Source organism: Homo sapiens, chromosome 3 (assembly GCF_000001405.40).
Source record: "Homo sapiens chromosome 3, GRCh38.p14 Primary Assembly".
Classification (NCBI taxonomy): domain Eukaryota; kingdom Metazoa; phylum Chordata; class Mammalia; order Primates; family Hominidae; genus Homo; species Homo sapiens.
In genome coordinates, this window is record NC_000003.12 from 131,477,383 (window position 1) to 131,502,478 (window position 25,096).

At 36.4% G+C, this 25,096-nt stretch overlaps 1 protein-coding gene and 1 non-coding gene across 2 annotated transcripts in view; both read right to left on the bottom strand.

Moving 5' to 3' along the window:
* MRPL3 (mitochondrial ribosomal protein L3) overlaps positions 1-25,096 on the bottom strand; it is a 40,760-nt gene that overhangs the window by 15,171 nt on the left and 493 nt on the right. The window contains exons 2-6 of the mRNA NM_007208.4: positions 24,149-24,333; positions 23,048-23,139; positions 20,797-20,895; positions 12,599-12,698; positions 10,298-10,358 (exon numbers count right to left, since the gene is read on the bottom strand). Coding sequence (NP_009139.1) covers positions 10,298-10,358; positions 12,599-12,698; positions 20,797-20,895; positions 23,048-23,139; positions 24,149-24,333 — 537 coding nt within the window. The remainder of the gene's footprint in view (positions 1-10,297; positions 10,359-12,598; positions 12,699-20,796; positions 20,896-23,047; positions 23,140-24,148; positions 24,334-25,096) is intronic.
* Positions 1,616-1,851, bottom strand: SNORA58 (small nucleolar RNA, H/ACA box 58). Its single transcript, NR_002985.2, has one exon. It is a non-coding gene; the product is annotated as a small nucleolar RNA, H/ACA box 58 (small nucleolar RNA).

Here is a 25,096-nt window from a genome sequence, read left to right on the forward strand (position 1 = left end):
TGCTTCTCCTTCTCTCATCAACCATCCACTCTCTGCAATCCATCTTCCTCTCCAATTACTCTTTGGATTTCACTCTGAGGTTAATCCCCAAATCCCAAATCCAAGTCTTTTACTAAAACAGTTTTTTATTATGGAAGTTTTACGGAATATTCAGGAGCAGAGAGATTAACTCAATAAATCCCTATGTATCCATCATCCAGTGTTGAACAATAATCAACTCAAGGCCTATTTATTTTTTTCATCTGTTCCTCTCCTCTGACAACTCCAATAGATTATTGTGAGGCAAACTCCAGATACCCTATCATTTCATTCACAAATATTTCAGTAGAGATCTCTAAAAGATAAGAATACTTTTGAAGAACAAAACCACAATACCATTATCACAACCTAAAAAATTTAGTAATTTCTTAACATCGGTGTTTAGATTTCTATAGGATCTTTTAAAATAGAATCTCTCCACAGGGTTTTCCTCTACCCCTTAACGTCCCGCTCCTTTCCATTGTCATCATTTCCTCCCTATTTTCCTGCTTCCCTAATGTTCTTTGAGAAATCTCTTTCCTCTTGCTGCCTCTGATTCTCTTCTCACTAAGGTTTAAAAGAGGGGTTGGCAAACTGGCCTGTGCTGGCCGTATGTTTTTGTAAATAAAGTTTTATTGGGATAGAGTCATGCACACTAATTTACATATTGCCTATCTCCAATTTAGAGCTGTAATGGCAGAATAAGTTAGTTCTCTCATGGGCAAGAGAGAACATAATGTCTGCAAACCTAAGATATTTACTTCCCATTCTTTGAGAAAAAGTTTTTAGACCCCTGAAGTTATTAGTAATAAGCTGGAGTTCCATAATCTTGCACTCTGGCAAGAATTTTGCCATGATCCCATTCTACAGATGTACCAACCATATCCAACTGGAAGTACCTCAGCCATTCACTTGCAGTGTTTAAGAAACAAACCAAACATCTCTCTTCCTTCAAGTTATCCTACCACAGGGCAGAATTCCCAAGGTGGTAATCTAATCACATAAATTTGTACTCTGCTTTAAAAAAAAACAAGCAAACAAACTTAGATGGTTCCCTAGTAATATTTTTAGCTTAGAATATATAAGGTTTTTTATAACTGGATCCAACCTGACTTCCAAACACTGAAAAATCTTAGTCATAGCAGATTACTCCATGAGTCCCTAAATAAGCCACTCTTCCATGCCTTTGTTCATTTTGTTCCTTCTGCCTCAAACACCCTTCATACTACATTGTCTATCTTCCCACTATTGTCATGAAAAAACAACCAAGTATTCAATATCAAGTTGCATCACCTGTGAAATATTCGATTTTTTTTTTTTTTTTTTGAGACAGACTCTCGCTCTGTTTACCAGGCTGGAGTATAGCGGTGTGATCTTGGCTTACTGCAAGCCCCACCTCCCAGGTTCAAGCAATTCTCAGGCCTCAGCCTCCCAAGTAGCACCTGCAACCACGGCTAATTTTTTGTCTTTTTAGTAGAGATGAAGTTTCGCTATGTTGGTCAGGCTGGTCTCAAACTCCTGGCCTCAAGTCATCTGTCCACTCTAGCCTCCTAAAGTGCTGGGATTACAGGTGTGAGCCACTATGCCCAGCCCAAAATATTTGATTTTTAATTTTTAAAAATCAAAATCCATACTCTAAGTAGAGGTTTTTCAATTAGAACCATTTCCAAATTAAGTTTTCTTTTTTTCTTCAGGGAAATGTTTAGAGTCCTGCAATTTATCCAGCCACTGATGAAGCTGGTTAGAGCTGGCAGGAACTCCAAATTATTCTTGCATACACTGTCCCCCCTGCCTGGACATGAGCACAGTCAGGCAAGGTCTACGAGTATGCCCTCCAAATTAAGTTTTCACTTTCTCTCTTTATGCTCTAAGAAGTTTAAGTGACTTGTACATATATCACTCAAAAAACCAGTAACTGTGTACCAAATGGAGAAAGGACACTTGACTTCTTTAAGAATACACCCAAATCAGGCTACATTTTTAAAATTTAATAAATAGAAGTGGGGGTGGGAAGGTGAAGAAATTACTGGTTTAAAAAGCAGCTTCTCTGTTATGGTAAAATGGAGATTCACAGGAAAATGGAGATTCACCTGGGTTTCTAGCTAAAATCAACACTGAGCTGAAATGAACCTATAAAACAGATTAGAATTAAGATGAAATCGGGCCGGGCATGGTGGCTCACGGCCTGTAATCCCAGTACTTTGGGAGGCTGAGGCGGGTGGATCACGAGGTCAGGAGATCCAGACCATCCTGGATAACACGGTGAAACCCCGTCTCTACTAAAAATACAAAAAAATAGCCAGGCGTGGTGGCAGGCACCTGTAGTCCCAGCTACTCGGGAGGCTGAGGCAGGAGAATGGCATGAACCCAGGAGGCAGAGTTTGCAGTAAGCCGAGATCGCGCCGCTGCACTCCAGCCTGGGCGAAAGAGCGAGACTCCGTCTCAAAAAAAAGAATTAAGATAAAATCTTTTAACTGTGATAAAGTATTACTGAATATAAAAGCAAAATGTCTAAATCAACATCAAAAGAAATTCTGGTAGGATATAATAATCACTTTACTATGCTTTAGATTCAAACTATCCAAATGTTCTTAGTTTTAAAACAAACAAAAAATTCTAATAAACAAAAAAGAATTAATTTTTGCCAAAACATATTACATGTATATAAAAGGCTTATTAGCTAGCTGACAATCTCCCTCAAGATTAGCTTTTAACTCATGATGAACTAATATGGCACAAACATTTTAATCTTTTACTATAGCTTCTCCTCATTTCAGCAAACTCACTCAGATGTTTCCTACTTACTTGCATTTCCACATAGCATCTCTACTGAAGATCCCTGTAAAGTGCGGCAGTCAATTTCTACCCAATTCAGTGTTGCTGTCTAAACCTACTTGATCAGTGATGAACAGGTGCTGAGCCCACAAGTCAGTCATGGTGGAATTTTCCAGTTGCTTGGTGTTCCATTCACATAGAGTTAGAAGGTGGCATGGAATATCAATATAGCTGTTAACTCTTTAGGACGAATTTGTGACAGCATGACCTGAAATGCAGGTATATGATTTCTGTCTAAAAACCATAAACTTCCCATCAATAACTGGGAACATTTTTATCAACAAGAGTGCAAGGAGTGCACTGCTTACGGCTTTTCTGACATCAAATCTAGCTCATTTAATAGTACAAAGAGTCAACTGTGCAGTGATTCCTTCAATTTCCCAACTGCACTAAATAAACCCAGAACACCACATTTGCTGTCCTGGGCACACTCTGTTCTTCTCAAAAAAGAAAACACAAATAAACAATTCTACAATATCATGAAAGGACACAAATTTTCTGAAGGTCTTCAGCCACATAATGTTCTTCAATAGATTAGAAAGCCATATTGCCATGAGCTATGAATCTACTGTCATGTATTATTTCTTTAGTATAGATAAGGGTGAGTTATGCCACTTGGAAAACTGAGGAATTATTTTTTGGAAACAGATTTTTAGAATTGAAAGAAACCTTAGAAACCATTTAGCCTCAGACCCTCAGGTTAAAGATAATGAAATCGAAATCCCCACAAGTTAAGCCACTTGCCCAAAATCAAATCGCTGGAAATGGAAACATCCAGCCACGCTTTCAACCCAGGTCATAGTGCCTCTCAAGAAACAGATTAGAAGAAAAATATTAAAATATTCCAGCAAATCGGAGAGGTATGAAGCCATTTCAAGGGCATCCTCATTACTCTGCAAATTCCAGATACAATAGATAGTATGTGATCTTAAAATTACCTAGAGTGTTTTGTAAAGCTATTACTTTGTTACATAAAATATAAAGGCAAAACTTAATGTATTGGAAAACACCAGAATTGAATTCCTAATAATGTCATGTTTTCTATTCATTTCGAAAGATATTTTCTATTCAGGAAAACATGGATCTTTTTAAAATTGAAACTAATTACAAAGCAGCAACATCAATAATAGTGATAGTAGCTAATACTCCTGAGCATTTATTATGTGCCAGGCCTTGAGCTAAGAGCTTTCTATGCACTGTCATTCAATCTTTGTAATATGGCTATGAAGTACATTTACAATTATTCTTATGTTAAAAATGAAGCAGCAAAGAGATTAAGAAAGTTATCTAGGTCACAGAGCTACTGAAAGGCCCATGCTTTTAGCCACCACCTTACATTGCCTCTTATTAGGCCTTAATTTTGCTGAGCTTGAGTAAAAACATGCTGCTTTGTAAATAAGGAGGCAACTATAGATGACCACTAATAAAATTTTTAACCCAACAACTAAATATAACCCCAACACACTGCTCTCCAATCATTCATTTTGACTGATTTAAGAGGGATTAATTTTTACAAAGATTATTTCTCTCTATAGTTTAATCACTCATCTTGAAAATTGTTTCACTAATACGTTAAAAACGTACTGCTTTGAATACCCAGTACATAAAGTTACTTGTTAAAAATGAAATAAAACTGAAAATGTACAGGACAGCACAGCAACTGTATCCTGAAGGCAGCACATACCTTGCTTTCTCCTTCCGGAGTTTACAACAAACATCTACCAGTTAGAACAATGAGCTTGTGGGCAGAGTTTCTGACAGTATGTAGACACTCTTCACTCAACAGTGTACTGGGCTAGGTATACAGCCCACAAAGTCTTTACTCTTTTAAGAACCCATGTTGACAGTTTAAACATCTTTGACTTTGGTAGGCAACAATACTTCTTTACACATTTTGGTATTTGAATGAAAGGATCCAAACTAACTGAATCTCAATAAATGTGCCAAGGTGCTCCAATACCTAATCTCCTCCACCCCCCTCCCCTTAATTTTTATTACTGGCCAGGCATGGTGGCTCATGCCTGTAATCCCAGCACTTTGAGAGGCTGAGGCAGGCGGATCACGAGGTCAGGAGATCGAGACCATCCTGGCTAAAACGGTGAAACTCCATCTCTACTAAAAATACAAAAAATTAGTTGGGCGTGGTGGCAGTTGCCTGTAGTCCAGCTACTCGGGAGGCTGAGGCAGGAGAATGGCGTGAACCTGGGAGGCAGAGCTTGCAGTGAGCCGAGATCGTGCCACTGCACTCCAGCCTGGGCAACAGAGCAAGACTCCGTCTCAAAAAAAAAAAAAAAAATTTTATTACTAAGATAACATTGTCAACTAGTTATTTTTCTGTTTTGAGACCAAAGGGTAATGAGAATTTAAAGGACACTGACAACTGTAAAGTAGTAAGATTATTCCTGAAAATATGAGTTGTTTTAATCAGCCCAGACTTCTAGACATGATTTTTAAATTATCCTTCTTTCAGAAAGAAAAAAACATTTTAAGTACCTGAAGTCTTCTGACTTCAAATTTTAAGTAAATAAATAAATTACAGATAACCAGAAGGAAAATTACTTCAGGTATGCACTGTCATGAATTCAAAGTTCAACAAGACACCTAGCAGGAAGTGTCTCTCCATGCTATTACGAATGCATCACTACCATCTCTGTCCTTCAAGTCCTTTCAGGCAGATACCTAACACTGCTCCCTAACCACAGCAGAAAGCATCTTTAGTTTTCTTTTTATTTGTTCTTTGTTTCATTCTTCTTTTTTTTTTTTTTTTTACAAGTTATAATAAGCACCACCAGAATTCAACAGAAAAAAAATGGGCTAAACATCCTATGCTGAGGATAGAATTAACAGTCATACCTCAGCTTACTCACTATTTATACATTATAGCTGTTCCCTCTTCAAAATCGAGACTGAAAGAATGGGAAAATGTTAGACTCTAAACCATCATCTATTCAAAGTTACAATGGAATATAATTGCTACTATAGAGCAAGAACATAAACCTTAAAAATGTACCCAGGGTAGGGGCAGGGAGAAAAGACATCATGATACATGCTAGTTTAAAGATTTTATTTGGAATGAATTACATAAACTACCATATTTCAAAGACTGGGCTTCATTATCTATTGATAGTATAATAAAACTATGTAAAAATGTTCTGCTAGGCAGTTTTATTTATTAGATGTAAAAATCTTCCCCATACAATCTAAATAAAATTTGTCTTCTATCATCCTTTTGATGAAAAACTATTGCTGATATTACAAGTAAAAATTAAAATGAATTCTGGTAAATTATATATTCACCTCACACCCTAACGTGACACTGGTAAATTTACCTATTTATCTAGAGAATTATAACCAACATCAGTATAGGTAAACACAATGTATCTTTCATGTAAGCAAGTTTCCTAACAAAATTTTATTTTAAAAGGAACACTTTAAAATTGTAAGTATATCGTCAAGAAGCTGTTACTGTTGGTTACTGGCCACTTTTTAAAAAACTGTCTGCAGACAATTTCATTCCTGAGGTAGACAGATACTTCTCACACTATTTTCTTGAAATGCAGACAGTGTTTGTTCCTATAAAAAATTTTCTTAGTTATTTCTAAAGTACATTTAACTCAGCAATTAAAGTTGAAGGTATAACATTGAAACATTGAAATCTAGTACTAAAAATATAAGTGAAGATTGATAATTAAAATACATTACAGCATGAGAAAAATTAAGAAATTAGGGATTGAGATTTTTCTCTTTTCTAATGAAAAGATAATGAAGCCAATTACTAAACAGACTAGTTTTCAGTTTTATGCTAACTAAAATGTAATAAATACTCACTTTTATTGGCAATGTTATTTTAATTACATTAAACTTGCTTGCTTTTAAACAGATGTTTGTATGTTATAATTCAAGCAGAGTTAAGGAAAGAAAGGCATTCTGAATTCTGTGCTAGGTAGAGGAGTGAGGAGGAAAAGTGGTTTAACTGATGAGCTTCTATTTTCCAGCCCAGTGGTTCTCAATGTGTGTTTCCGGACCAGCAGCATCTATATCACCTGGAAACTTGGTAGAAATGCAAATTCTCAGGTATTAACCCCAGACCTACAGAATCAGAAGTTCCGTGGGTGGGGTCCATCAATTTGTGCTCAACTAAACCTCCAAGAGATTATAAAGCCTACTCAAGCATGAGACCCACTGCTCCAGCCTATAAATCCATGTCCTTTCATCACTCCCTTAACCATGGCACTGCACATATTGTTCCCCTAGTGTTCACCCTTCCAACAGGATTAATATCCAGAAGATAGAGCCGAAAAGTTCCAAAATGCATTAAGGAAAGTAGAGAGAGGAGTTTAAAAAAGAAAAAAAAAGTTAAACAAAGGTATGCACATGTATGTGTACATGTACAGACGTGGGAAGTCAGTGGCAGAGAGAAGAGGCAGTGGCAACTAGGGCTGTATGCAGCTGGGAATACAATGCTGCACTCAGGAAATTCAAAACAGTTCCAGATGAGAAGGACAACGAATCCTATAAATTTACAAGCATTTAAAATTAAAAGCACCTTACAGCAATAATAAGATGTCAGCTACAAGAGCTATAGTTATTGGTAACATTTAGCAAAAGGTCAAATAAAGTCCAATTCATTCTCATGTAAGTAATAAATACCTCATGAAGATATGCACACACACATGCGAGGAAAACCCTGCCCCACTGTTAATACAGTAAAAGTTAAACAGAATATTGTATTGTAGCCCATATAACAGTGGTGATCTTCTCAAATGGAGGTCCTCACTTCTCCAGAGTTGACTATCACTACTTTAAATTCCAGGGCTGGTTGTTCCCCCAACTCTTACCAGCTATTTAATCCTGAAGCTGGTGCATGGCTTTACATAATCTTGTTTTCTATGAAAATGATCTTACAAAAAACCAAAAAACAAAAGTTTTCCTCTTTTACTTTATGCTTACAAGAAGGCAGCTGAAGTTTTAAAAATCACTTTAAAGAAGCCAAGGAAACCAAACAGAAGCATATGAGATGAAAGCATTCACTGAAGATAGGCATTTGAAAAGCTAGACTCTAATCCAAGTTAGTCACAAGTCCAGCCACAAGGCAAATGTTAACAAAGGCCTCTGACTTTGCGTGGTTTCTTAGAATATCCCATATTGTATAAAATACATAATGGAATTCACACAACATTAACTGTGTGTAAATTAACAAAATTACTATGTGGCATTTTATATGCAATAATTCAAAAATTAACAAGTAAAATAATCTGATTTACAACACACATATTTCCCCAACTAACCAAATCAAAGCTTTTAAGCTCCAATATTTTGAGTTCTGCCAAAGGAATGCAAAACAGAGTTACCAAGGAACCAGTGATTTCAGGGGTTCTTGTAACTAGGAACAAGTTCACGATAATCAGGAAGCAGGAAAAAAAAAAGGGGGACAGGTTTACAATCTCTTTAAAAAGAAGACTCATCTTATTACCAATCTATCCCACATTTCATTTCTAAATAGCGAAATGAAGGTTATTAAAGCAGCCAGCAGCTTTTGCAATGACCTATATTTGAAACTAGGAAGAATGCATCTTAACCATGTGAAGGAAAGTGATACTAGCACTCCCCCAGTTTCTTTTGATAAAAGGTGCTCTGGCTCAATCTCTGTGATTACAAACTTATCCCAGAGCATCTGTAAACAATGGCATATTTTTCAGAGGGTTCCTAGTCAGAATAATCCCTGCAGAATTATCATGCAACAAAAAGGAGAAAACTGAGGCATCAAAAGAAATGAAATTATCATTTATGTTGAAGAAACAAACATCTGATCTTTGACAAACTTGACAACAACAAGAAATGGGGAAAGGATTCCCTATTTAATAAATGGTGCTGGGAAAACTGGCTAGCCATATGTAGAAAGATGAAACTGGATCCCTTTCTTACACCTTATACAAAAATTAATTCAAGATGGATTAAAGACTTAAATGTTAGACCTAAAACCATAAAAACCCTAGAAGAAAACCTAGGCAATACTATTCAGGACATAGGCATGGGCAAGGACTTCATGACTGAAACACCAAAAGCAATGGCAACAAAAGCCAAAATTGACAAATGGGATCTCATTAAACCAAAGAGCTTCTGCACGGCAAAAAAAAAAAAAAAAAAAAAAAAAAACCAAAAAAAACTACCATCAGAATGAATAGGCAACCTACAGAATGGGAGAAAAATTTTTTTTTTTTTTTATTATACTCTAAGTTTTAGGGTACATGTGCACATTGTGCAGGTTAGTTACATATGTATACATGTGCCATGCTGGTGCGCTGGAAAATTTTTGTAATCTACCCATCTGACACAGGGCTAATATCCAGAATCTACAAAGAACTCAAACAAATTTACAAGAAAAAAACCAACCCCATCAAAAAGTGGGCAAAGGATATGAACAGACACTTCTCAAAAGAAGACAACTATGCAGCCAACAGACACATGAAAAAATGCTCATCACCGGTCATCAAAGAAATGCAAATCAAAACCACAATGAGATACCATCTCATGCCAGTCAGAATGGCAATCATTAAAAAGGAAACAACAGATGCTGGAGAGGATGTGGAGAAATACAAACGCTTTTACACTGTTGGTGGGAGTGTAAATTAGTTCAACCATTATGGAAGACAGTGTGGCGATTCCTCAAGGATCTAGAACTAGAAATACCATTTGACCCAGCAATCCCATTACTGGGTATATACCCAAAGGATTATAAATCATGCTACTATAAAGACACATGCACACATATGTTTATTGTGGCACTATTCACAATAGCAAAGACTTGGAACCAACCCGAATGTCCATCAATGATAGACTGGATTAACAAAATGTAGCACATATACACCATGGAATACTATGCAGCCATAAAAAAAGATGAGTTCATGTCCTTTGCAGGGACATGGAAGCTGGAAACCATCATTCTGAGCAAACTATCACAAGGACAGAAAACCAAACACCGCATGTTCTCACTCATAGGTGGGAATTGAACAATGAGAACACTTGGACACAGGGCGGGGAACATCACACACCAGGCCCTGTCAGCGGTGAGGGGCTGGGGGAGGGATAGCATTAAGAGAAATACCTAATATAAATGACGAGTTGATGGGTGCAGCAAACCAACATGGCACACGTCTACCTATGTATCAAACCTGCACGTTGTGCACATGTACCCTAGAACTTAAAGTATAATAAAAAAAAAACAAATAAAAATAAAAGCTATAACCTGATGTGAACCCTTTACATACAATTAATTTGGCACAATTTAAAAACCAGTGTAGGTAACATGAAAGATTTGAATTCAGAATGAGAAATATATTTATCCTTTATTCACTGACTTGAAAGACTGTACTTCTTTCACTTATTCTATTCTCTTTTAATAGATGAAAACAAAAGGAAAAGAGAACTCGCTATGAGGACCTACGTTTTGGCTGTGACATCCACATACTGTCCTGGACGAAAGTGAGCAGCATAAAGAGGAGTGCCTTTATGAAAAGAAAATGAAAAATCAATATGAAATTTGACAGCACAGAAACAACTTTATTCAACATAAACTATATCCAGGAAGGCTTCTAGCTGATTTCAAAAATGGTAAGAGATTCTCTTCTGCAATTAGAAACATCCAAACAATGAAATTATTCAACAAATATGTCTTTTGATTGACTTCACAGAGACCAAAAGTGGTGCTGTTTGAAATGAGTGATTCCCATGACAACACAGTGTTCTTGCTGTCAAACATATAAATTTGATGATTCTTGGTTGTTTTAGTGAATAACAGTATACTAAATTAAGATATGTTTCTTGTCTTCACATTGGGAAAACAAAAACAAGAATAACCAAAAAATGTTGGGGCTTCATTAAATATCCTGCACCCATTGGACAAACAGGAAACAATTACTTGAACCCAAGTCCCTCATATGGTGTGTAATGATCATGGTATGTATGACATCTATATAAAGCCTCTACATATCAGATTTTGGGTGAACTCTTCATTGTACCAATAAACTATAGTTCTCCAGTTCATGCCTAGATAATTAGAATAGCAAAAAATTGCCTTTATAGATACTTATTAAATTTTATATAGAAACGTTTACAAAACTAGTTGTATGCAAATAAAGTCTTACTTTAAATGTACTTGGGAAATGTTATTTTAAAAAGTTTTAAATTTTGTGATGAATCAAAGCCCTTCATAATATTGTTTACATAAACTTGAAAGTAACATTTATAAGAACTATTTGGCAATCAATTAGCAAACATTTATAGGGCACTTACAAATATGTGCAGCTAGAAATTCAAGAATATAAGAATATAAGACATGGCCCCTGACAGCAAGAAATTTATTATCTTGGTGAAGAATAAACATTAACATCATCAAATAAGATACATTTTTTTAAATGGCAGAAACCACTGTAGTAGAGAATGTAACTGAAAGTTTATTTATAGTTATAGTTTATTTAATACAAGCAGCAAAGTGCTGTAAGATTGCAGGGGGGGAACTTCCTTTAAGTTATAACCCAACCTGGATTTATATAGGCAGAGAAAAACCTTGAATGAAGAAAATATAGAGATTTAATCATTCCACATTGTCTACATATTATCAAAACATCACACTGTATCCCATAAATGTATATAATTTTGATTTGTCAATCAAAAAATAGTATTAATTTTTTAAAAAGAAATTAAGTGACCTTTTATGAGGCTGAATTGCTGATTTTTGACCATTTTTGACCCCAAAAACAATTTTGTATGATTTGAGCTACAGCAAAAGTTAATGTGGCTTAATTTTATCTTTATCATAAACATAAACAAAGAGTTTAAGAAAGTTAGATGTGTTAATACCAAAGAGAATATTAAAAAGTGCTTCAGAACTGTCTACACAACCAAATATTTTAGAACTATCCCTTTATATTTAAAGTATTTCCATTATAAACTATTCTAATATACAATGGCCCAAGTACTTCTACTAATTTTTATATTTGTTTAATTCCATTTACCTTGCCTTAAAATTGCAAAATCTTAACTTCAAAGAATACTTTTAATTCTACCTTGTATCAAGGCTGACCCTCTGTCACACCAATAAAAGCCTACTGCAACTGTATTTTACTTAAAGCAGTTTAGTTCCGATATTAAATACCAAATCTTAAAGCAGCATTCTACTGTCTTCTTGTCAGAACTCAAGTTCAGAGATCAGGGAGCTTTTCTGAAGTTCAGACATCAAAATGTTATATTTTGCTAACCATATGAGCCAATATAATCATATGCCAAATCTTTACTCTTTGACAGTCCACGGATTAGGCAAAATATCTTGGAAATTTTAAGTAAGAATCTTTACATTGAGGTGCTATGGTCGGTCCCTTCTGTTATTATATTTTCTCCAGTTCTTCTACCTAAGCAAGAGCCTGGCTATTTTTCATGAATGCCAGCCTGTGAACAACGATCTTTGAATTTTAAAAGTTAGTGTATTTCTTTGAGGTGGCTTTTTCAAATATTAAACTCTCTCTACATTAAAAACAAAAGTGTTCCTCCCTCTCTCACAGAAAGCAAAGAGTTATCTACAGGTTTTTCCACTAAAAAAAAAAAAAAACAAAATGAGATACAGTTTTGTATTTAAAAGTAAGTGTTTGAGACTTTGCATTTTAGATGTAGCTTTATTGAAAGGGCTGACATTAAACAAATTGCATATTTGGGTATTTTTACCTCCCTCCTCTCCCCAACCTCAAATTACCTGGTTTAATTGCAGCATTATCTGTTATATTAAAGATTTTAACTGTCTGTTTCGGCGGCAATCCAAGTTCCCGGTAAAATTCCAATATGGATGTAGCTTTCTAGAGGAAAAGCAGCACATATAAGTAATACATTGAATATTAAAAGTGGAATTAAATGCATGGAGATCTAAACCAAGTTATTAACACCCCAGAAAATAAATCAAAGCATACCTTATTCCTTAATGAACAAAGGGCACCCAATTCCCCTTATTTAAGGGAGGTGAGATTTATAGCTATATTTTATTACATCTCTGAATAATCTTACTATTTAGATTCCAATCATGTACATAGTGTTCAAATATAGCACACTGGGAAAGACCTCTGTTCTGCAGGAAAATAGAGAGTTGTGCTCATATTTAAATTCTGACTGGAGACTGTCTGAATTAAGAACCCAAACCCCGAAAAATCAACTCTGCCTATTCTGCACTTATTCTAAACTGGAAGAAAACACGGTATGTTACATTTAAATGTTATGACCACAAACTTCAGAATCTCAAATGTGGCCTGCTTATATCTAGAGATACCTACATATCTCTGGTTAAATCATTTTCACACTCTATAAGAAAACTAAGTCACATCCTTTTCTAAAATCTTCAGCACTGTTTCCTCTTCCTCCCTTTGAGTTGATCAAATAAAAGAATTAAGAGAACTTCTCCATGCTTTTACCAAATTGTCTATACCAGCACTAATATATTAACAGTACTATCCTCCCACCCCACTCTAGGTTACACATGAGATGCACATGGAGAGCTTCTGGAAAATGCCAACGGCAAGGGCCCTCTGCTTAGAGATTGTAATTTCACTGTCTAGTGTGGGGTCTAGGCATTGCTAATTTTCAAGCACCTCACATGATTTCTATGTCAAACTGGGGCTGGAAATCATGCTGACAGATGAGCTCTCCATACTTTTATTAAAAGCACTAATTCCCACCCCTTCTCACCTATTCAATGGTTTCCTCCTGAAATTGTCCCCACTCTCTTCTAAGAAATCTTCATTTTTTTCCCCTTTCTACTGGAACTTCCTATCACTATATATAACATGTCACAATAATTCACATATTAAAACAAACTTTTTCTTGACCACATATTCTTTAGCTAATTTTTCTGTTCCCCCTTACAGCAAAGCTCCTGGAAAGACTTGCCAAGTCTACTTTCTCTCCTCCCATTCTGTGAACCCAGTTTAATCAGCACTTTCAGCTCCTAGCACTCAATGCAAAGTGCTTGTCATTCACCAAGGATCTCCATACGGTCAACCACACTGGTTGATACTCATTTTACTGAATCTACCAGCAATGCTTAACACAGGTGACCACTCTCTCCATGGAAGACTTTCTCTTGGCTTCCAGTTACTACTCTCTCGGTTCTCATATATGTGAATGTCTGCACATTTCTAACTTCAATTCCAAATTCTACTTTGAACTATACATTCACATGTCCAACTGCCAAGTCATTATCTCCACTTCAATGTCATATAGAAACTTAAGCTTAACGTGTCTAAAACTGAACTCAACTCCCTTCACCAAGCCTGCCCTTCCCAGGCCTTCTTCCAAATCTCAATAAAAAAGGCAACTCCATAATGCTGCCGTATAGGTCAAAAATCTTATGGTCACCCTTGATTCTTTTCTTCTTCACATTCCATGTCCCATTCATCAGCAATTCCTCCAGACTATTTAAAAATATAGCCCACGCCAACCACTTACCACCCCATCCCAATGTCAACCTCATCCACTATCTTCTGCCTGGATTATTTCAATAGCCTCCAAACTGGTCTCCAAGCTTCCACCCTTCCGACTCTCTAGTCTGTTCTCAATTCACAGGCTGGCATTATCATTTTAAAACTCAAGCCATATCATGTATCTACAGTGGCTTCTACTTCTTACAGAATCAAGTCCTAAGTCCTTACCATGGTTTAAAATGTTCTACACAATCTGACCTCATCTTTTACTCTCCTCCTGACTCACCCTGCTTCAGAAAAAATGCACTCCCTTATTGGCCCAAGAACACATCAAACACTAGCCTCAAGACCTTTGCGCATCCTATTGCCTCTGTCTAGAATGCTTTTCTGCCATATTTTTGCATGACTGGCTCCCTTACTTATTCAGGTATCAATCAAAATATCAACTTACCTTGTCTAATTACTCAATCTGAAATAGCATCATTTTTTGTCACTTATCCCCTCAGCCTACTTTTATTTTATTAAAGCATATTATTTTATTAATACCAGTTTTTTAGGCATACCAGGAAGCTTCCGAGAAAAATCCTTTATATTTTTAGTATTACCCTTCAAAGCATTTATCTCCATGTGTCATGATACACATTTTTTACTGTTTCTATGTCAGCAGTACCCAACCTTTTCGGTACCAGCGACTGGTTTCATGGAAGACCATTTTTCCACAGACCAGTGGAGGCAGCAAGAGGGATGGTTTCAGAATGAAACTGTTCCACCTCAGATTATCAGGCATTAGAGTCTCATAAGGAGCATGCAACCTAGATCCCTCGCACACACAGCTCCTATAGGGTTTGCGCTCCTATAAGAATCTAACGCTGCCACTGATCTGACTGACAGGAGGTAGAGCTCGGGTGGTAACTAATGCTCACTCACCTGCCATTCACCTCCTGCTGTGCAGTTCCCATTCCTAACAGGCCACAGAGCAGTCTACAGCCCAGGGGATGGGGACCCCTGTTCTATGTAACAGCCTCCCCATTTCACCCCCAAACCTACCCAAATCTAAGCTTCCTGAAAGCAGAGACTTGCTTTAGTTGCTGCTATATCCCCAGCTCCTGGTAGAACCTGCTGTCTGCTCTCCACTCCTGCCTTCTGTCCTGCTATTGTAAATATCACTACAACCAGTGTCACTAAAAACAAAACCTATGGACATCTTATTTTCTTATAATTCCTGGGTCTTCCCCCCACCTTAATTCTTAAGACTCGATATAGATTGCTATAGGACTTGACAAAAAAGTTATGCCACTTTTTATTTCCTGATGTGAAGAGTGCCTCTTTCATCACAATATAACATAGTACATCTATTTTCCTGCTGTTCGCTCTCCCTCAACTTTCTAACCATAAATGAAGAACCCGCAGGCCCCCAATGGCTATGTTACTCTATGTATGCTTTCCTGAATCTGTCTGCACCACTCTCTTCATCTGTGATCTCCTCCCTACCCTGCATCTCCAAAGCTTCAAAGTTGAGGAAGAGGGAACAGCAGGTAGATGTATCTGTGTTCGTTTTATTCTGGTGAAAGAGGCACTCTTCACACTGGGAAATATAAGTACATGTCTCTAGTACTAAATTCAGTTATATTTCCTATCCAGATCCCTCTCTGAGCAGCCTTACCAGAGCACATTGCTCCTTTGTCTATGCCAACACTAGACACTGGAATATCTCAATTACTGTCCATATCACCATACACTTATCTACTCAAATGTTGGTCAGCATGCTGACCTGTGAGCACCTGGATGGTAAAGGCTGTTTTTTATTCATCTGTGTCTCTAACTTTACAGCTAAGCACAGTGGCAAGTTAGACAATAAAGAAGTGGGCTAAACCAACGATGAAAAGAAACAGAAGATAAAGGACAGGCAACCATCTGGGTATAAAGTTTGTCTAACTCTTCCCACTTTTCTACTCTTCTGCTCCATCAGTTCTTGGAACACGACGTTACTGTGTTTGTGGCCTCAATCTTCAGGTCTAGTTACTGTAAAAGTATAGGCCTAAGAGATATATCATGACTTGCTCTGAGGACGAACAAATCAGCAAGAAACTATTATAAAACCAAACCAATAGTAATTGTAATTTTCAAAAAGCAAGAATAGCAGCAACTAAAAAACCCTAACCAACTCAAGATGACACTGATAATAACAAAGTATCCTTCCCCCAAATTCCAATGAAGTGCCTGCAGAGTCAGACTTGTTTGTAGAATATAATATGTGAATACTTAGCAAACTTTAGTTACTTGTTCAGTTTAAAATGTAAACCATTAGTACTTATAACTTACTCAGTTGCCTATAGTTGACATGAAATTGGGTGGCACTGGCCTGTAAGCACACAGTTTAATTTTTGGATCAGTCTACAACTTACCAGGAATCCCCCTGGGGCTCTCCAGTGGAGCCTACAACAAATGCCAAGAAGCTCTACTTTGATGTCCACTGAAGACTGTTCTATACCTCACAAGAGTTCTCTCAAGAAGCTATCCTTTCCTCCACAAGAGTGATAACACAAATTCATTCCAATCATTCTCTATTATTTTATTTCCTACACGCTGAAATTAACACTAACACCCAACACCACTATTATCAAGTCCCCTGCTTTTCATCTTCAATCATACTCACTTCTGCAACAAGAGCAAACACAAAATTTTCATTTAACAGTATGGCTCCTTTAAATTATTTTCCTGATGTATAAAATTCAGATTTATTAAATTTTAGAATGGACTTCAAGTTTATTTTTGACATTCACCTATTCCACGTGATTTTCAAAGCATATTATTTTGTTAATGCCAGCTTTTTAAGCATATCTGGAAGCTTCTGAGGAAAATCCTTTACTATTCTAATAATACAAAACAGACAATATATATAAACATTTCATCCTAAGTAACTTTTTAGACTAAACCATAAATAGAACCAAGGTAAAACATACTTCTCGATTATCATCCAATTTCACTAATAGTAAATACTTTTTTCTTTTAAAATCAAAATATTATAAAACTAATTAGGTCTCAGTCAGGAGGAAAACCAAATGCTCAAGTAGAGTTAAAACCAGAAGCAATGTAAAAGACTTTTTTCTTTTTTTCAGACTTCTAAATAAGTAAATGATTTCAAAAGGCAATTTAAAAGACTGACAGTACTGTCACAGTTGGATAATCCCATCTATGAGGTTGCATTCTTTTCCCCCACTTCAAAGTTCTCTGCAATTATCCTTCCCACAATGAAAATGCCTCTCCTCCTAAGATGAATTGATTTAATCAATGTTTAAGGCCACTTAACTTCCTCATTCAAAAACACTATGTACTACCTCAGTTTTTATTTATAATAAGGTACAAAACAAAAAGGCAACGTAGTCTAATTTCTTGGAGGCATAAATTCTTTACAGATTAAAAGAAAACAGTTCTAACACTATTATAAAGTGATTTAATTTCCAAATGTTTAGATATATGAAATTTTATATTCATAGGTCTTCGTTTTTTAAAAAATCCTCTATAATCAATCGATTTGCATTTTTTCCTGAGAGCTATAATATGGAAGTCTGGATACTTTTAGTTTCAAAAATCTTTGTTTTCAAACAAAAATGATGTATTTACAAAGAATTCTAAAACTTCATTTTCACATTTCATTTTGAAGAAAGGTCATTTTATAGACAAAGCTTTTTCTTGTTATTGTAATAAATGTCATCTGGACTTAGAAATTTTATATCTTGAAGAAATTTTATATCTTGAAGAAAGAAGGTCCTTCGCAGTACTTTCTATGCTAGAGAAGTGAAGTTTTCAAAGTTTACGTAAATTAAGTGGGTCAAAATCCACCACAACATTAGAACACAACATCCAAATCACCCTGCTGTGCTATGTAACCACTGAAGAGAATAAAGCTATCAGAATAAGCTAAAGAGAAAAAAATGTGTGAACAGCCTCGACTATGAAATGCAATACCTATCATTCTGTAATATTAATTATTAGTACTGTTATAGTAATACTATTAGTATTACTTTCATAAAATTTTGATTATAACACATCTTTATCACTAAGTAAAATAGAATAAATTGAGCTCCCATGTACTTTTTTTCTCCAAACTTGTTTTTTCTTGAGAATTAAAATATTCAGAGAACCAATGTGAGACTTTCAGAACTGGAAGATAATTCAGAGACCATCAAGTACTATTCCTTGTTTTTATGGGTAAGAAAATAGATGTTCAAAAGGTGAGTATAGGGGACCTAAAGGTAGAAATCAGGATTAGAACTCAACTTTTCTGATCCCACATCACTTGTTTTCTCACTACCTCATATTTCAGAGGAAGCAATCTTCACAGACCTGGCTGGGGCAGAAGGGATTACCCTAGCATGCTTGATTTACAAATATCCAGGCCATGAAGGCATCAATTTACAAAACTTGTAATGAAAATGAAGATGATGATGCTAGTCATTACAAAAACACAGAAGTACAATCAAGTAGAAAACAGTGGCATCTATCAAACCAAAGAATTACTCATATGAAGGCTGGTACATAATAAATTTTTAAAAAGTCAAACACTTGATTTTTTTAAAAAGTTCCCATAAATATCTCATTGTACTCTATAATTACTATGGAGTTATATGAAACCCAAATTTGTTAGTCAATAAACTGTTAAGAATAGCAGGACAGATATTATGACAAAGCTTTAAAGAAAAATAAATGGAGTATGCTACCATAATATTCAAAAATAGCTAACTTCTCTAACACGAAACAAAATAAACCATGTCACAGATTTCAGTGATTTCCACCACCACTTATTGACTAATCAGTATTTCTCACCATTTATAGAACTATGATTTCCTGTGAACATCTCAAACATCTTTCCTCCAAAGCTTCCCTTTTCCTTGTTCCTATCCCAGAGTATGCAATCAGCACTGACCTAGTTGTGTCCTCCCACCTAGTCCTTTCCAATCCCTGCCCCTTCCAATCTCAATGCAACTGCCTTGCTTCTAAAGGCTCTTATCAACTCTCCCCTGATCTCTTAAAACAATCTCCTAAAAACTCTTTCCTTCTATCAGATTTTTAAAATTTTAGTTAACTAATTTAACAATCTGAACAAGTTACTGACCTAGTTAAAGAATTCAGAAAGCACCTCAAAGTCCGTAAGATGAAGTCTAAACCTCACACACTACCTTGATAGCTGCAGCTTCACCACCCTCCCAACACTGGCCCAGGCCTGCACACTAAAATGCAGCCACATTACACTTCTCTCCCCAAGCACACATGCTCTTCCATGTTGTCTCTGCTTCTGCAGAGGCCATTCTCTCTGGCATGCCTGTAACACCCATTTTCCTTTCTGTTCTCCCTGTGAAACCTCCTGGGATTTTCCCTGGCAGAATTGGCTGTCTCCGGTTCTGTGCTCCTTGGATTTATAATATTGTACTGGGATGGCTGGTTTATTTGTGTAACTTCCTCACTAGCTTATGAGCTCCCAGTGGGTAGATATCAAGACACAGTTAAGTAAGGCTCTGGTGTCTGTCGCTCTACCTTTTACCAGTGGGTGACTTTGAATGAGTTAGTTAACTGCGTTAGCCTCAGAGGCTGAAAAGTTTATATAAAGTAACAAATGAAAAAAGCGTAATGCTTATGCACGTGGCATGTAATAAATGTTCAATAAAAGTTAACTATCAGAAAATAGAGTAGTTAGTAGGATAAACACCTGATAGTTTTGACAGTCAGAGAGTATGGGTTGTATCCTAATTTCTGCCTTGTTCATTTCATAAACAGTTTACAATGAAAAAAAAGTTTGTCTTAGAGATAAGCAATGTGTTATAGTAAACCTAAAGATGTTTACTGAAAACCATCACCATTTTGAGAAAGGTTTTCTGGTTTTAGTTATTCAATACAGGATACTCATTGGGCAGCTTTTCCAAACTTAAACTACAAACTCAGTACTCTACTTAAAAAAAAATGCTTTATTAAAAAAAATCTGATTTGGATTCTTATACAGCTTTCTCCCAAACACTGAAAGCTCCTTCCAGAATACACAAAATTAATTTCCACATGCTCTTGGTGTCAAGAGTTAAGACAATTTTCCATAGGAAGAAAGTGAAATGAAACATAAAACAATAACAAAATAACCAAATCTACTGAGTGTCTGTTATATTCCAAGCACATCTGAAAAACCTAATTTAATCCTTGTGATAAATCTATTAGGTATGTAGTATTTTTGTTCCCATTGTACAGATATACAAGCACTACAGCTTAGAGAGGTAAAATTACTTGTTCCAGATACAGGGAGAGGTATTAGAACAAACTCAAGAGTCTCCAAGACTCCTGGGCAAAATGGCTGTGCCAGACTGCCTCCCCCAAATACACAATTTACCTCACAAACAAATGCAAGTTTGTGGCTGTGGAACAATCTCAAAACATAAACTCATCCAGATTTGAAACTGATGAAAAATGCAGTATTCTAGCTATGAAAATACATCCTTACACGAAAACGTGATACAGTTTTTCCTCCTACAGACAGGGTTGCCATTTTTCCATTACAGTTTTCCTTTGACGTATATTTTAAGACATGACAGTCTTGTACCTAAAAAAACAAACATAAAAAAACTAAGCATGTGCCAATATATATTTTAACATTACAAACCAGCCCCATTGAGACCTTAGGACAAATAGGAATTCCCTACAGTTACTTACCTCATCTTTCCTCTAACACCAACCACAATCTTAAAAATATAAATTAAAAAAAAAAAGATTAAATACACACTTTGGGAGGCCGAGGCGGGCAGCTCATGAAGTCAGGAGATCGAGACCATCCTGGCTAACACGGTGAAACCCCATCTCTACTAAAAATACAAAAAATTAGCCGGGCATGCTGGTGGGCGCCTATAGTCCCAGCTACTCGGGAGGCTGAGGCAGAAGAATGGCAAGAACCCGGGAGGCGGAGCTTGCAGTAAGCCAAGATCGTGCCACTGCACTCCAGCCTGGGGGACAGAGCAAGACTCCGTCTCAAAAAAAAAAAAAAAAAAAAAGATTAAATACATACAGAAAAGAACATATACAACAAAATGAGTATAAACAAAATATACATGTAACCACTACCCAGCTCAAGAAGTAGAATCCCAAAAGCCCGTGTGTGTCTCTTCCCAATCACCTCCTCATCTTTTTACCCAAGAGCAGGAGTTCTCAAAAGTATGGTCACCAGACAAGCAGTGTCAGGATTCCCTGGGAACTTAATAAAGACACTGATTCTCAGGCCTCAATCCAGACCTACTGAATCAGAATCTTTGTGTTTTATAAGACCTCTAAGTGATTCTGAGGTTCACTAAAGTTTGAGAAGCACTGCCCTAGAAATAACTCTTGACATTTATGGTAACTATTTACTTTTCTTTATAATTACTATATTGGAAAGTATTGCCTGCTTTAAACTTTATATAAATGGAATCAGATTTTATGCATTTTATGTACTCTTCCATGTCTTACTTCACTTAACATATTTGTAAGGTTCATCTATATTGTGTGTAGCTCTATTCTGTTCATTTTCATTGCTGTACAACATTTCATTATGTGAATATAACATGATTTGTTTACCTGTTCTACTGTGGACAGAGACTTGGGTTATTTCTAGTTTGTTGGCGTTAAGTGTGATGCTGCTGCTCAAGTTTTCTAGTAATACTTGGAAGTGGAATTGCTAGACTACAGGCTAACTCGTCTTAATTTTGCCACATAATGCTAAAGTGTTTTCCAAAATGGTTTTGTACCAATTTACAATCCCACCAGCCATTACTGAAAGCCCCCTGCCCCCGCCAGTTTCTTCAGAGTTCACAAAACTATTGTCTTATACTTGATCATTCAGAGCCAATAATAATTTGCAAAGGATCTATAGACTCTTTGAGCCTTATTAGCACTCTAAGCACTTAGGTGCATGAGCTGTTACTTTACATCACCTGTATCATTACTTGCCTAAGACTAAGCCCCAAGATCAACTGAGTTGTTCAAAGTGATTGGGGGAGTGATGATCTCTTACCAGTATCTTTCTATAATAATAATAATAATAATAATAACAACAATGATAATGATAAAGACAATAGTAGCTAATATTTAGTGGACACTTAACATTGTTTCAAGTGCCTGACATTTATCATCTGGTGCAATCTACACAATAACCTTTTGAAGTAGCTCACAATTATTTCTTTTACAGAATAGAGTATCTTTTACAGATGAGGCACAGTGCTCCAAGGAACACACTAGTAAGTGGCAGAATCAAGATTGCAACTCAGGTATTCTGGTCTCAGGACACACATTCTTACCCACTAGACTATAGCTTACCTTAGTGAACAAAATACAGCCTCACCAGACAAGAGTATTATATTCTGTTAGCAAAAAGATCAAAACTGTAATCTGGAGTTGAAAGAACTCCATAAAAGGAAACAAAATGGGATTGAGATTTTTTTCCAATTATGAAGTAAACAAGGGGATCTGTAAAAGGCTAGGTTATACTTAAAAAAAAATTCATTGCTCCAGTTATCCCAATACCAGTATCAGAAGGCCACTGCTCAGGCAAGAGTGAGAACATTCCTGAAACCACCATAAGTTCTTTAATACTATTTATGTTCAACATCACCCCTTTCTTCACCATACAGTTCCATGTTTCAGGACACAAATAGTTCTTGTTAAGGTTTGCACAAACAGATCTTGAAACACATAGATATCTCTTACGTCTTCTGTTTCTCTCTTACCTGAAGTAATGTGACCACATGCTTTTGACCATCCTTGGTCCATAAAGGCATCATGCCCAGCTTCAAGGCAATAAGACCAACTCTAAAGGAACCTGGCAATTAAAACCAAAGCAATGTGAACAAAAGCTTTTGCAACATTCACCAACATTATGAAATCGTTTTTCCTAAAATCAGGTTTCCGTATGAGGAGCAGGCACGTAAGAAATATGCTAATATATTCACAGAGTAAAGTAGGACTGTTCTTTACAGATATAAGTGCCTTCAACCATGCCTGGCATGACATATTGGTGCTCAATAAATATTTGTAAAATGAACAAACATAAATATATGAAATAAAGAAAACAGATAAGTTAGGTATATTCTGGTTTTAAATAATGGGCATGATAAATCCATCATTTTGCTTTCCTAGTATCAATTCTTACCCAACTTTATTCATTAGAAAACATCTATCACTCAAACTCTGAGAAGTTAGCTGAGGCTATAGAGATGCCACAACTGGTCATACATTGCTAAAATATGTCAGTCTACAACAAGACACTTAGATTCTTTGCATAAACTGGTAAAGTTGCCTCACTAAGAAGTTTTGGTAACTATCCAATTCGACTGTCACAATAAACCCTAACCAGGGACCACACACTTAATAGAAAAGGCCTTATTCCTCTTGGTCTGGCCACACATGGGTTTAGCATCCTTCTAGACACAAAGAGCTGATCCAGGGGTTATGCTTCCCAAATCTACAGTGCTAGAGCATCCCAAGTGAACATCCATGCAACACATTACAATTTACATCATACTCTTCCAGCCTTTCTTTCCTGACTTATATTCTTTTTAGCTGAAGTAAACAAGAGAATCTATGCAGAATGATTCTCCCTTCACCTATAAAACAGCTTCTCAAGGAGGTCTTTATTATCATCAGACATTCACTAAAACTAGACTAGGAAGTTGGAAATAAACATGCAAAACAAACCACAATAAAACACACGCAGCACATGAAAAATAAATTCAAGAAATGATAAATTATCAAGTAGTCACTATGATTTTAAATGTGTCCAGCCACACAGTAATTAGGAAATGAGAGCTCATCAAATACAAAATAATCACCTGGTTCCCAAGGATGTATAGGCCATGGTTCATCTTTCAGAGGACACAGTTTACTTGCTAATTGGGCTTTATCTTCATCAGAGACCAACTGCTTAATGAATGGGACATTTTCTTCAGAAAGATGCTCATCCCACCATGTACCACTCTTTCCATGAAGACCTCTAACAAAAAGCCAGATGTGTGTTCTATAAAAAGAAAAAATAAATAAAACCAAACCACAATTTAAAAACTTCCTCCACTTAATATAGAAAAGGGAAGTCACAAATTGGAAAGTGTAGTCAGGGCCTTGGGAAAGGGCTTGGATTCTGTATACCTTTTTTTCAGGTCTCCAACCTTTTCCTCACTCCCCACATTCCTTCGGATAAGGCTCACATTTAAACTGTTAGTCGTTACCCTGGAGAAAAAAATTCATCTTCTCCTCGCAGATAAACATATTCCCCAAAAAACAGTCCTACCTATAGACATGAAAAGCCACTAACCCATTTGGAAGTGTACCTTAATAGTTTTACATTCAGTGGAGGTGGCAGAAGGTGGCATGTTGATCTTTGTCTAACAAGCTCACCTCCTCCCTGCAATGACATGGCCTAGGTTCAGAGAAGTGAAGAAACTGGGTGTGCAAAGTTAAAAGATCCACAAAAGGCATGACCTCTGAACAGGTGAACATACCAAGAAAGACCTTAGTGGGCGGAGGTCAGGAAGAAGGGGTGTAATTCTTGCATGGAGGGTCAGAACAGAAGTAAAGCTTTCTGCAGTCTACTCTCCTTTTGTAGTCAGATAAATTCAGGCTAGATTCCTAATTTTCCACTTATTAGTTGAGTGACTTTGGGCAAATTAACTCACCTCCCTAACCTTCAGTTTTATCTGTAAACCTTATGATAGCAGTTTGCTCCCGTGAGGCTACATAAGGCACCTAATACACTTAGCAGAGCGCTTAGTACCTGGCAAACG